The sequence below is a fragment of the Homo sapiens genome, chromosome 1 (genome assembly GCF_000001405.40).
Source record: "Homo sapiens chromosome 1, GRCh38.p14 Primary Assembly".
Classification (NCBI taxonomy): Eukaryota; Metazoa; Chordata; class Mammalia; order Primates; family Hominidae; genus Homo; species Homo sapiens.
The window spans coordinates 70,757,793-70,773,063 of record NC_000001.11 but is presented as its reverse complement, the minus strand read 5'-3'; the positions used below and the strand labels follow the sequence as shown (position 1 = coordinate 70,773,063).

General features: G+C 36.2%; 1 long non-coding RNA gene across 1 annotated transcript in view, besides 1 other annotated feature; it reads right to left on the bottom strand.

Moving 5' to 3' along the window:
* The window catches only part of LINC01788 (long intergenic non-protein coding RNA 1788), an 80,016-nt gene that overhangs the window by 13,405 nt on the left and 51,340 nt on the right, over positions 1 to 15,271 (bottom strand). The window lies entirely within an intron of this gene.
* Positions 9,532 to 9,732: a silencer, noted in NCBI's record as "peak284 fragment used in MPRA reporter construct". NCBI's record gives its function as "represses an SCP1 promoter by STARR-seq MPRAs in K562 erythroleukemia cells {active_cell/tissue: K562}" and the evidence as "EXISTENCE:reporter gene assay evidence [ECO:0000049][PMID:32103011]".

Sequence of the window (15,271 nt, the reverse complement as noted above, 5' to 3'; positions counted from 1 at the left end):
GATTGCATCCATTCTCTAGGAGTTCTTAACCAGGCTGAACTAGCTGGAATGACAGAAGTAAAATTCAGAATATGAATAGAAACAAAGATCATTGAGATAGAGGAAGATGGCAAAACCCAATCCAGAAAAAAATAAGAATTTCAATAAAGCTATACAGGAGCTGAAGGATGAAATAGCCAGTATAAACGAAAACCTAACAGGTCTGACAGAGCTAGCTAACACAATACAAAAATTTCACAATGCAATCACAAGCATTAACAGCAGAATAAACCAAGCTGAGGAAAGAATCTCAGAACTTGAAGACTGGGTCTCAAAATAAGATAGTCAGGCAAAAATAAAAACACAATAAAAAGAAATGAACAAAACCTCCAAGATGTATGGGTTTACGTAAAGAGGCAAATTCTATGAATCACTGGCATCCCTGAAAGGGACAGGGAGAAAGCAAACAACTTGGAAAACATATTTCAGGATATCATTCATAAAAACTTCCCCAACCTTGCTAGAGAGGCCAAGAGTCAAATTCAGGAAATACAGAGAACTCCTGCAAGATTCTACACAAGATTATCCCAAGACACATAATCATCAGATTTTCCAAGGTCAAAATGCAAGAAAGAATGTTAAAGGCAACTAGAGAGAAAGAGCAAGTCACCTACAAGGGGACCCCATCAGGCTAACAGTGGGCCTCTCTGATGAAACCCTATAAGCTAGAAGGGACTGGGGGCCTATATCAAACATTCTTTAAAAAAAAAAAAGTTTAACCAAGAATTTCATATCCATCTACACTAAGCTTCCTAAGTGAAGGAGAAATAAGATCCTTTTCAGATGAGCAAATATTGAGGGAATTCATTACCACTGGACCTGCTGTACAAGAGATCTTGAAAGGAGCACTAAATGTAGAAAAAAAAGACTGCTACCAGTGAGACAGGAAAATAGGGTTTGGAGGCAGAGAACATAAGGCTGATTCACACTTCAGCTATGATATGAAATATCCTCTCCATAGGGCATAGACCAAGTAAATGACTTTGTAATTTTACTTCATCCTCTCCATTTACATAGGGCATATCCCAAGTAGAGGGCGTTTAAACTCACAAAAACTGTAACAGGGCCTTTGTGCTCCCATGCTTGGGTCCACTCCCACACTGTGGAGTGTACTTTCATTTTTTATAAATCCCTTCATCTCTTCCTTGCTTTGTTTGTGTGTTTTGTGCAATTCTTTGTTCAAGACACCAAGAACCTGGAGACCCTCCACCATTAACACCAGCTAATACAAACACACACTTAAACACACAGACCAATGTCACTAGAAAGCAACCATACAAACAAGCCAGCATAATAACCAGCTAACAGCACAATGACAGGATCAAATCCACATATAAATACTAACCTTGAATATAAATAGGATAAATGCCCCACTTAAAAGGCACAGAGTGACAAACTGGATTCAAACAAAAGCAAGACCCAATGGTATGCTGTCTTCAAGAGACCTATCTCACACATAATGAAACCTATAGGCTCAAAATAAAGGAATGAAGGAAAATCTACCAAGCACATGGAAAAAAGCAAAAAGCAGAGGTTGCAATTCTAATTTCAGACAAAACAGATTTCAAACCAACAAAGATAAAAAAAGACCAGGACATTACATAATGGTAAAGGGTTCAATTCAACAAGAAGACCTAACTATCCTAAATATATATATGCGCCCAACACAGGAGCACCCAGTTTCATAAAGAAAGATCTTAGAGAATTACAAAGAGACACAGACTCCCACACAGTAGTAGTGGGAAACTTCAACACTCCACTGACAGTATTAGAGAGGTCATCAAGGCAGAAAATTAACACAGATATTCAGGACCTGAACTCAAAATTGGATCAAATGAATCTGATAAACCTTTACAGAACTCTCCACTCAAAACCAACAGAATTTACATTTTTCTCATTATCACATGACACATACTCTAAAATTGGCCACATAATTGAACATAAAACAATCTTCAACAAATGCAAAAGAACCGAAATCATACCAAACACACTCTTGAACCACAGCACAATAAAAACAGAAGTTAAGACTATGAAAATCACTCAAAACCATGCAATTACATGGTAATTAAATAACATGCTCCTGAATGACTTTTGGGTAAATAGTGAAATTAAGGCAGAAATCAAGAAGTCCTTTAAAAATAATGAGAACAAAGATACAACATACCAGTATCTCTGGGACACCACTAAGGCAGTGTTAAGAGGGATATTCGTAGCACTAAATGCCCACATCGAAAAGTTAGAAATCTCTCATATTAACAACACAACTGAAAGAATTAGAGAAGCTAGAATAAATGAACCCCAAAGCTAAAAGAAGACAAGAAATAACCAAAATCAGAGCTGAACTGAAGGAGGTTGAGACACAAAAAACCATTCAAAAGATCAACGAATTCAGGAGTTTGTTTTATGAAAAAATTAATAAGATATATTAATTTCTTTCTAATAAAGAAAATATAGAAGATTCAAATAAACACAATTAGAAATGATGAAGGGAATGTTACTGCTGACCCCACAGAAATAAAAACAACCATCAGAAATTACCATGAACACCTCTATGCACAAAAACTAGAAAACCTAGAAGAGATAGATATATCTCTGGACACATACACCCTCCCAAGACTGAGCCAGGAAGAAATTGATGCCCTGAACAGACATATAATAAGCTCTGAAATCGAATCAGTAACAAATAGCCTACCAACCAAAAAAAAAGCCCAGGACCTAATGGATTCACAGCCGAATTCTATCATATGTACAAAGAAGAGCTGGTACCATTCCTCCCAAAAAGTTTAGAAGGGATTTCTTGCCAACTCCTTCTATGAGCCTAGTGTCATCTTGATACCAAAACCTGACAGAGACACAACAGAAATAGTAAACTTCAGGCAATATCCTTGATAAACACTGATGCAAAAATCCTCAACAAAATACTAGCAAAAATTCAGCAGCACATCAAAAAGCTAATCCACCATGATTAAGTGGGCTTCATCCCCAGGATGCAAGGTTTGTTCAACATATATAAATCAAGAAATACGATTCATCATATAAAAGGAACTAAAGACAAAATAGACATGATTATCTCAATAGATGCAGGAAAGGCTTTTGATAAAATTCAACATCACTTCATGCTAAAAGCTCTCAATAAAGTAGGTATTGAAGGAATATACCTCAAAATAACAAGAGCCATCTATGACAAATCCACAGTCAACCTTATACTAAAGGGGCAAAATCTGGAAGCATTCCCCTTGAAAACCAGCACAAGACAAGGATGCTGTCTCTCACCACTTCTATTCAACATAGTATTAGAAGTCTTAGCCAGAACATTCAGGCAAGAGAAAGAAATAAAGGGACTCCAAATAGGAAAAGAGGCATCCAAATTTGCAGGACACATGATTCTATATCTAGAAAGCCCCACAGTCTCAGGCCAAAAGCTCCTTTAGCTGATAAACAACTTCAGCAAAGTTGCAGGATGGCACTCTTATACACCAACAACACCCAAACTGAGAGCCAAATCAGAAAGGCAATCTTATTCACAAATGCCACAAAAAGAACAAAGTACTTAGGAATACAGCTAACAAATGAGATGAAAGATCTCTACAACAAGAATTACAAAACACTGCTAGAAGAAATCAGAGAAGACACAAACAAATGGAAATACAGCCCATGCTCATGGACAGGAAGAACCAATATTGTTAAAATGGCCATTCTGCCCAAAGAAATTTACAGATTCAATAAAAACAACCATTATGAGTTATTCCTATCAAACTACCAATGACATTCTCACACAACTAGAAGAAACTATTTTAAAATTCATATGAAACCAAAAAGTAGCCTAAATAGGCAAGGCAACCCTAAGCAAAAAGAACAAAGCTGGAGGCATCACGTTTCCCAACTTCAAACTATGCTACAGGACTACAGTAGCTAAAACAGCCTGGTACTGGGACAAAAATAGACACAATGGAACAGAATAAAGAGCCCAGAAATAATGCCACAGAGCTACAACCATCTGATTTTCAATAAGGTCAACAAAAAAAAAAAAGCGAGGAAAAAAGACTCCCTATTCAATAAATGGTGCTGGGATAACTGGCTAACCACACGCAGAAGATTGAAGCTGGACACCTTCGTTACATCATATACAAAAATCAGCTCAAGTTGGACTAAAGATTTAAATGTAAAACCCAAAACTATAAAAACCCTGGAAGACAACCTAGGCAATACCATCCTGGACATAGGAATAGACAAAGATTTCATGACAAAGACATCAAAAGCAATCACAACAAAAGCAAAAATTGAGAAGTGTCGCCTAATTAAACTTAAGAGCTTCTACACAGTAAAAGAAACCATAAACAAAGTAAACATACAACCTACAGAATGGGAGAAAATATTTGCAAACTATGCATCCAACAGAGGTCTAATATCCAGCATCTATAAGGAACTTAAACAAATTTACAAGAGAAAAACAAAAAAAAAGTTAAAAAATGGGCAAAGGACATGAACAGACAGACACTTCTCAAAAGAAGATACACATGCAGCCCAGAAGCATACAAAAAAAAAAGCTCAATATCACTGATCACTAGAGGAATGAAAGTCAAAACCACAATGAGATGCCATCTCACACCAGTCAGAATGGCTACTATTAAAAAGTCAAATAATAGCATGCTGACGAGGTTGCAGAGGAAAGGGAACACTTACATACTGTTGGTGGGAGTGTAAATTAGTTTAACCATTGTGGAAAGCAGTATGCTGATTCCTCAAAGAGCTAAAAGCAGAATTACCATTTGACCCAGCAATCCAATTACTGAGTATATACCCAGAAGAATATAAATAATTCTACCATAAAGACACATGCATGTGAATGTTTATTGCAGCACTATTCACAATAGCAAAGACATGAAATCAATCTAAATGCCATCAGTGACAGACTGGATAAAGAAAATGTGGTACATATGCACCATGGAATACTATGCAGCCATTAAAAAAGAAAAAATTCATGTCCTTTGCAGGAACATGGATGGAGCTGGGGGCTATTATCCTTAGCAAACCAATTCAGCAACAGAAAACCAAATACTGCATGTTCTCACTTATAAGTGGGAGCTAAATGATAAGAACTTATGAACACAAAGAAGGAAACAACGGACCCTGCTGTCTACTTGAGGGTGGGGGGTGGGAGGATGGAGAGAAGCAGAAAAGATAACTATTGGGTACTGGACTTAATACCTGGGTAATGAAATAATCTGTACAATAAACCCCTGTGACATGAGTTTACCTATGTAACAAACTTTCACATGTACCCCCAAACCTAAAATAAAAGTTAAAAAAAAAGAACAGCCAAAAGTATGTAATCAAGTTATATTGGTTAAGCATGTCATAATTGACTGGCTTAACCACACACTTTTTATAGACCTCTAAGATAAAATATTTTAGCATGAGGTCATAACAACAGTTAGAACTGGAGGAGAAAATATTATAGGAGCTGACTAAAAACCTAAAGCAGAGTTATTATCTCAAGTCTTCTCAAAGGGAGTGAGTCACAATAACAGCTGAATATCTATGATATGAATCTGAGAAGTTTTAAAAGAAACCAGTTATAGCATTAAAAGAAACCAGTTATAGCATTAAAAGAAAAATTTCCTGTAACACAAATCAATATCTTAAGAAAACCCAGTTCCAATATGGAGATTATTTTCTAGAAAGTCTATCACAAAGAATTTTTCTTCAATCACAGCCAGCTTAATAATATACAAAATCCCCCTGACAACTTTCCCTTTACAAACCCCATCACTCTTTTGCAATGCTTGGACTCTCTGACCTATCCTATGCCACCTCTCTTCCAAATAACCTGTCACTTTATTCTAGGAAAAGAATCTACCACACAAAATCCCTCCTCATACAAAATCACTCTTTCTTTATATCCCTCCCCACATAAAAAAAATGTATCTTCTATCCATAACTCTCCTCATATCTTTCTTTTTATTCACTTGTTCCTTCATGTGTTGAACCAGCCTTTTAATAAGTTCCAGATCGGAAAAAAAAAAATTCTTTTTTCCAATTAAAACTATGTTTCCCCTGGCACATTTCATATAAACTTAGGAGGCAGAAAATTCTGAACTGCCTACCAGATATTGGGATTTTATAGATGAGAACCATTCTATAATTTTTAAGAATTTAAACCATACAAAAAGCTACCCATTCAAAGCTTTTTAAAATATTCTAAAGCCTAAAAACATCAGTGGTTTACCTAGGTAAAAATCTTGAAGTTAAATTTTAGAAGACACAACATTCTCTTCCAACTATCAAGTTTAGCCTATTCTTGTTTAATTCATGAGCACTCTTTTATTTATAAGCCAATTTGATAGCATGCTGGACACAACACACATCACACAAATGAAGTGACCTATATACAAGACAGCTGGATCCAAGTTATTTACAAAATTGGAACGTATCCACCTGACCAAATTGTGTTTGCCCCAATAGGTATGGAAGACAGGCTGAGGCAGGGAAGGGGACGCTATAGAAGGGAATGGATGAACCACATTGCTCCAGAGGAGACCTCAGAGTCCCCAGTCCACCAGAAAACTTACCCAGATGTGGAGACATCAAAGAATAATGTTCAGATGCCTGCTTCACTGCCACTGTGGGAAGCTGCCCATCAGAAGAAGGGTCCAGGACCCCCAGTAGTTTTACTTAAGCAAGGCAGCTTGCTGCAACTAGTGCAAGAAAGCTAGTTCTAGTATCAGAAAGCCTATGAGTCTCCTTCCCACAGCAATTATTACCCAGAATTTTTAGAACATGGAGGAAGCCCTGGGTTTCATTTCTGGCTGGACAGATTGATGAAGAGTCTTTTTTTCCATGCACCAGGGACAGTTAGAACATTCTCATGACCAATGGCCCTCATTCCTGAAGAAGGCACAGTGATTTTGTCTCAGGGGCTGGCAAGTCAAGGGCTGTCATCTGGGCATCCCAGATGCTGATCTCATGACACTTTCTTGGGATGGGTAATTCTGAGTTGACAGAAGGCCTAAGACAACTGCTAACAATTACACTTTTTTACTATTTATTTTGGTTCTCTCTCTCTCTCTTTTGCCCTGTGCCTATTGTTGTAAACCTTAAAGGTCATGTTTAAGAGCTGGCTCGTAGGGGTTTAAAGTCCCACTGCTGCTTTTTGTAGCTTCCTCCTAATGTCAGGGGCATATTGAGTAATAATATTCATACCCAGGAGAGTTTGCCTTTCTGGGGAGTCTGGTCTGCATTAGTATATGTCTTAAGTGCCTCAACCAAACAAACTGAAACAGAGTGGCTGTTTTGTCTTTTCCCCGAGTTACTTTTCTAACCATGTCATAATTGACTGGCTTAACCACACACTTCTTCCTCCACTTCTCCATGGCACAGCAAATAGATGATAATACTTTCAAGTCATGCCAAGTTAAATCAAAGAACATGATCAACTTAACAAATTCCTGGATTCTCTGAAAACTAGCCACATTTCTCCTTGCATAAAGCCAAAACAGACATAGAAAATGGCACATGTACCCTAAGAGTTCCCCTATTTCCGACAACTATTTCCCACAATGGACACAGGTTTGACTTTAGGGGCTGATATGTATTTCTTTGAAGAAGTTTATTAGGTAAATCAGTGTTATTTTTTCTTCATTATTCAAATGCAAAGCTAATTATATTAATAATCTCTCAAAGTAGAGTCCAATATTTTGAGAGAAACGCACAAAATGAGGAGCAGAATGCTGAGAGAGAACGCACAATGCTGAGAGAAATGCTGAGAGAGAATGCAAATGAGAGAAATGCACAAAATAAGGAGTCAGAACATTTCTTAGAGTTTAAACTCTGCTATTTCATGCCTATATAAGCTTGGAACTTATTGACCTTACTGAGCTTCTATTACTTCCTTTGCAAAATCAGGAAGCTAGATTAGCCATCCAGTCCAGATGTAGCATCTGATGATTCTTATATAAGAGATAGTCATTTGTTTAATTCCTTTAACGAACAATGAGCACTTGCTGAATGCCAGGCACCAACACTTTCTGCTCTTAGAGGAGAGCCAATGTTGCTGCAGGAGCAGGGGCCACCAGACTTCTGATTCAGGAAATGACTAAGGCCTCTAGCTCACCGTTTGCACTGCTGTTTTAGTAACCTTCCTCTGTCATTTTAAAAGTGTTGATTCTTACCAGTGAATTTATAAGAGCTTTGTATAAAAAGATTTTGAAAACTTTGCAGGATCCTGGACTTAACTGAAGACACTGAGGTGTCTGAACACAGGGGCTGTGTCTTGAATATGCATATGGTAGGAGTTAATCAATATTAAATGAATGAATGACCTTGGAACTTACTGATTATCAGTGGAATAACGGTTTCACCTTTGATTAAATTCCTGAAAATTGAAGCATCTTCTTCATGTTTGGCAATATCACCTATGCTCTATAAAAATTTGAGAAATAATAATATTAACATACTTGTATAATATGTATAGTTTGTATCTCTCTTTCATTTACATTGTCTTATTTGCTCCTCACTAAAACAATGTGAAGTTGGTAAGGCAATTATTATTATATTCTTTCATGTTTTTAGGAGAAAACTAAGGTTCTTAGAGTCTTAATTAGCTGCCCAAGACTCTGCAGCAGTAAGTAGCAAGAGAGTATAAAAGCACAATTATTTATCCTTTCCTACCATATGATTATGCTTCTATCAAAGTTTCAGTCTGTCACTAAATAAGATAATGTATACAGATTGCAAGGCACAACAGGGAGTGCACCATACAATTTATTTCTACCCCTCTCCTTCTCTGCTTATCATGTGGTAAGGCAGAAAAGGTGCCTCGTTGAGTGGCATGATTTGTTTTTCCATGAACATTGGTTGAAAGCCTACCAAAGGCCAAGCACTGTGCCAGGCTTGGAGATACAAATGTAGTAAGACACAATCTTTGCCTTCAAGTTGCTTATTCTATAGTACAGAAGACAGACTAGTAAAGAGGAAATACTTTGAAAAATGTAATGCCTACTAGACAAAGTACCTCCTGAGAACTAACAAGAGATACCAATCCAGTTTTAAGACAGCCTCAAAAACTAACCAAGGAAGTAACCATTCAGGCTGAAACTTGGTTTAGCAAGGCTATGGCCATTTAAAATGTGTCCACAAATTTCTTGAAATTCCTTTAAAGAGGTGAAGCTTAATTTGCTTCCTTTTGGGTGTAGGCTGGACTTAATAAATAAGATATAGCCAAAGTGATGGTATTTTACATCCAAGACTAGGTCATAAAAAAATGTGTTGCTTCTGCCTTGCTCTTTCTTTGGTCACTTCCTTTGGAAAACATCAACTGTCATGTTGTCAAGACAGACAGACATATGAAAAGGCCCACATGATGATAAGCCAGGGTCTTTGTCAATAGGTGTCGAGGAACTGAGACCCACTGCCTACAGCCGTAGAAGTGAGCCATCTTGGAAGTAGAATCTCCATCTCCAGGCAAGCCTTCAGATGACAGCAGCCCTGTCCTATGGCTTGATTGTAACCACATGAGAGAACCTGAGCCAGATCTCTCAGCTAAGCTGCTTCCAGATTTCTGGTCAGCTAAGCTGCTTCCAGATTTCTGGTCAGCTAAGCTGCTTCCAGATTTCTGGTCCACAAAAATTGTGAAATGATAAATATTTGTTTTTTTCAAGCTGCCAAGTTTGATTAACTTGTTATTCAGCATAGATAACTAATACATGGAGAATGGAAGAAGTGGTTGTGAAAACATTGTAGAGATGTAAAAGGAAAAAGAGTCAAATTAAAATGCTAGGGGGAAGAATCATAGTAATGGAGATGAAGAATACCTTTAACTTGTCTATCAGTAGACTTGAGACAGCCAAGGAAAGAATAAGTGACCTGAAGAAAGGTCCATAGAAATAATCCAAACTAAAACTTGGGTAGTGGGTGGGGGAGACATCATTGAAGAAATATTTGAAGAGAGTGGCTAAAAAGTCTCCAAAAATACTAAAAACATAAAATCACAGGTCCTAGAGGCTCAGAGAAGCTCAAACAGGACAAAATAGCCAGGTGTGTGGCTCACACCTGTAATCCCAACTCAGAAGACTGAGGCGGAAGAACTGTTTGAGGCTAGGAGTTCCAGACCAGCCTGGGATGTAAAATGAGATTCCATCTCCAAAAATGAAAATACAAAAATTAGCCAGGCATGGTGGTGCACACCTGTGGTCCTGGCTACTTGAGAGGCTGAAATGGGAGGATCACTTAAGCCCAGAAGTTCGAGGCTGCAGTGAGGTATGATCCCACCACTATACTCCAGCATCTGCAATAGAGTGAAACCCTATTTTTCCAAAATAATAATAATGATAATAAATATCTAGAAACATGATATTCAAAATGCTGACCACAAAAGATAAAAAGAAAATCTCAAAGTCATCCAGAGAAAGAGTCACATTACATAGAAAAAAAACACAGAGAACAAATACAGCAGACTTCTTGCCAGAAATTGTGCATGCTAGAAAAAATAGAGTGACATTTTCAAAGTGCCGAAAGAAAAATACTATTGACACTATACATAATAAAGATATCATTTAAAACTGAGAGATAAATACTTTTTCTAACAAAGAAAAACTAGGAGCATTCTTTAACAGCAGATATGAACTATAAGAAATGTGAAAGGACGTTCTTTAGGAAAAAAGATTATGACATCACACAGAAACTTGAATATACATAAAGAAATGAGGATTCCTAGAAATGGTTAAAAAAATAAAAGAATTATTTTTCTTATTTTTAATATCTCTAAAAAATCATTTTCTACTTTTTTTTTTTTTTTTTTTGAGTCGGAGTCTCTCTGTCGCCCAGGCTGGAGTGCAGTGGCGTGATCTCGGCTCACTGCAGGCTCTGCCCCCTAGGGTTCACGCCATTCTCCTGCCTCGGCCTCCCGAGTAGCTGGGACTACAGGCGCCCGCCACCTTGCCCGGCTAATTTTTTGTATTTTTAGTGGAGAGGGGGTTTCACCGTGTTAGCCAGGATGGTCTTGATCTCCTGACCTCGTGATCTGCCCGCCTCAGCCTCCCAAAGTGCTGGGATTACAGGCGTGAGCTACTGTGCCCGGCCCATTTTCTACTCTTAAAATAAGCAATGATTTGTGGGTTGGGCACATAAGTGAAACTAAAACATAAAACAATAGCCAAAAAACATAGACTAGAGATATTGTTGAGTACACAGTCATAAATTCCCATACCATGTTTGAAGTGGAATAATACTATTTGAAGATAGGCTTTGATTAATTAAAGATGTATATTGCAAGCCCAAGGTCAAGAATTAAAATAAATTAAAATGAGGGTAGAAATAATAAGCCAATAATAGAGATAAAATATAATAAAAAATACTCGTTAAGATGTAATCTAAAACAGAAGGAAAAAAACAGAAAAAGAAAAACTACCAAGATGATAGATATTAACCAAGCCATAAAAATACTTACTGTCTATGTATATTATCAAAACACAAAAATTAAAGCCATACTTCATCAGATCATATTAAAATGAATAACCATAATCATGTCTATAAGAAACATACTTTTAAATATAAACATTTAGATTGGTTTACAAGTAAAAATGTATTAAAAGACAAAGCATGCATACATTAATTAAGAGACATAGCATGCATACATTAATTAAAAGAAAAGAGTAACTATGTTAATACCTAATAATTCAAAATTCAAAACAAAGAATAGTACTAGAGATAAAGAAGGGTGTTACCTATTGATAAAGGGCTCAATTCACCAAAAAGACATGCTTATGTTCCTAACAGTAGGGCTTCAAAATACATGATGCAGACTAAAAGAAGGGAAGGAGAAATAGGTAAGTCTACACTTAAAGTTGAGGACTTCAGCATTTTTCTCTAAATAAATTGATAAAACAGAAAGATGGAAAAATCAGAAAGGATATGGAACATCTGAATAACATTAAAAACTACTCTGACTTAATTGCCACCCAAAAGCATCAGAGTACACAGTTTTGCAAGTACACATAGACTATTCACCATGGTAGATCATATTTTGGGGGAAAAAATCAAAGCTTAACAAAATAGAAGGATTTAAATCTTATAAAATATGACCTATGATCATAATGGAATTAAACTAGAAATCAATAAAAGAAAGATAGCTGGAAAACTTTCAGATAATTATAAATTAAATAACACTCTTTTAAATAAGACACACCATGTTTCAAGGAGGAATTAGAAAGAAAACTGGAAAACATTTTGAAACAAATGAGAATAAAACTCAGTAATAACAATCTATGAGAGACGGCCAAAGCAGTACTGGAGGCAGTTATAGCATTCAATTATGAAATTAAAAATAGGAAGGGTCTCATCTCAATGATATGTGCTTCCACTAAGAAATCATAAAAGGAGTTAGTATAAACCCCAAGTAAACAGAAGAAAATAAGCAATGAAGAGCAAAAGTGAATAAAACTGAAAATGAAAACAATGAAGAAAATTAAAGTAACCAGACTCTGATTCCTAAAAAAGTGAATAAATTAATATACATCTAACCAGACCAACAAAGAAAAATATAAAACGTAAATCTTACTTGCATTTGATGCCTTCTATTTTTGTTTAATTTGACTTGAGTTGTTTCCCATTCCTTGTAACCAAATATCCGTAAGGCTAGACACATAAGACAACCAACTCTGGAAAGACAGAATCCCACAGGAATGTCAGATCTCATGCTTAGTTGAAATGATGCAGCAAGAATACATATTCAGTCAATTTATCTCATTTAAAACAATATTTATCCTCACTGGGAAAATGTGCATAGAAGAATATACTTCTTAATGACTTTATATTACATTTTAAATCAATCTTGCTTAAGGTAATGTTACTAGAGATTTGATTCTATTAACATCATTCGAATTCATTTTCATTTTCACTGAGGATTTTTATTCCTCTCCATCTATAACTCTTGATAATAATTGAAATGGAAGAAGCCATTATCTTTATTTTATAAACTCTTTAAGTGAAATTATTTGTATACAAAATATGTATTTATTTAATTTGGAGTATTACAATCTTTTAAATTATTTAACTGTTTAAGGAGAGAAATGCCCAGAGACATGAAAATAAAATGAGTCTGTTGCTTTGAAACATGACAGAGAAAACTAAAATAATTCTAATACTAATCAGGCATTAAGGTGTGGCAGTCATTGTACCATGTCTTAGCAAGGCATATGAACAAGTTTAAAAAACAGTTTCTTCAAATCTAGAGATTCCAGTGCAATTAAGAAGACAAAAATGTTTCATGCATGTAAAACCAGAGTGTAAGACAGAAAAAATTTTTTCAGAGAACAGAGACAATTTTAGTAGTGTTTTTTGGAGAAAAAAAAAGCATAGAGAAAAACTTGCTTGCAGAGAATGAGAATCAATATTCAAGAGAAATTACAGAAACTTTTCCAAATTTATAGTAGACATAAATTCTCAGGTTGAAAATGCACATTAGATCAGGCAGGATAAATAAAATGAAATCCAGACTGAGACACAGTGTAGTGAAACTGAAAAACATTAAAGAAAAAAACAGACATCATCCACAAATGAGCAATAACTAAAACTGATAGCCAACTTTACAACAGCTACAGAAGAAGACAAAAGATAATGTTAAATATGTAATAAGTAGAATGTTAGATATAGCTTAATGTGAACTTTTTTCATATTAGAAAATCCAGCGTTCCACAATGGCTAACATTGGTTAATTCCTCAACAAAGCCATAATGTCTCAGGGTCTTAGTTTTCCTACTCTTTCATTTTCATGTTTGGATTTCATGCCTGGAAAATGGGTTACTGCAGTTTCCAAGATCTAGTTCATGATTTGTATCTCATGTCTGAAAAATGGTTATTGCAGCTCCAGACATCTAATCAATGTTCAAGGCAGGAAGAAGAAGGAAGGGGAATGTCTGTCTAATTTTAAAAGAAAACCTTTCCCATAAATGCCCCTTCAAAGAATTCTACTTATATAGAATGTAGAGTAAATAGGATTACTACAATAACCCTTCTTATTTAAAAAAAAAAAAAAGAATTAAGAAAACCAATCGTCTACAGGGCATATTAAGTCCCAAGGTACAATAATCATAAGGATTCTTTATCCAAGCAGAGGAAATACTTCCACTTTAGTCAACTTGATATATGCATAGGGTGATGCTTTCTGCCAAGACTCTGTCTTCCTCACTTCTCTCTGGTTTTGTACTCTGGAAGATTCTTCTGTCTATTTGATCACAGCTGAGATGAATGTTAAAGAGGATGTATTAATACCTAGGTGTTGCATGTTTTCCAATAAACTTGATGTTGACGTGAGTTTGGAGGTGGGCCAAGGGGATTGTTTTAGAAGTTAAACAGTCACAGGCTGTGTCTAGATGGGCATGTTATTTTTGACATAGAGAAATTTCTCAAAGCTTTCCCATCTATTGGTTTCTAGTCACGTCAGTGAGCAAGTAATGACAGCCAAAGATCTTATCTAGAGACGTACAGTCTTCAGAGCAGTGCTACTCAGTGTGGCCCAAGGACCAGTGACAGCCAGTGAACAGTTTTTTAATTGTTCCATGACAAGAACAGAAATAGATAATAAAATTGAGAAATTGTTATAGCATTTTGAAAGAGTAATTCTATCTGTTACATATGATAATTAAAAATGTGTTTATTTTTATGTCTTTATTTTTCTTTTATATGTCGTTTTCATAGTAATTTATTTTCATTGTATTTTACAAAGAATTGGTCTGCAATGAAGCGGTGGGGGAGATGAGTCCTTCACACAGATAGTTTGAGAAGCACTCTTTTAGACTAAAAGTTTTAGTCATTTAGTCATTTATTTGTGGGCCTCTTTGCCCCATTTGCTTCATCTTTTTTTTTTTTTTTTTTGAGACGGAGTCTCACTTTGTCGCCCAGGCTGGAGTGCAGCAGCGCAATCTAGGCTCACTGCAAGCTCCACCTCCCAGGTTCACTCCATTCTCCTGCCTCAGCCTCCTGAGTAGCTGGGACTACAGGCGCCCGCCACCACGCCTAGGTAATTTTTTTTTTTTTTTGTATTTTTAGTAGAGACGGGGTTTCACTGTGTTAGCCAGGATGGTCTCGATCTCCTGACCTCGTGATCCGCCCGCCTCGACCTCCCAAAGTGCTGGCATTTGCTTCATCTTAATGGTTGCTCCTTTGAGTAAATTTGAAACAATAGCCTCAGGAGGAAATAAACTACCTCTTAATCCAGTTTTTTCTGAGGTTCACT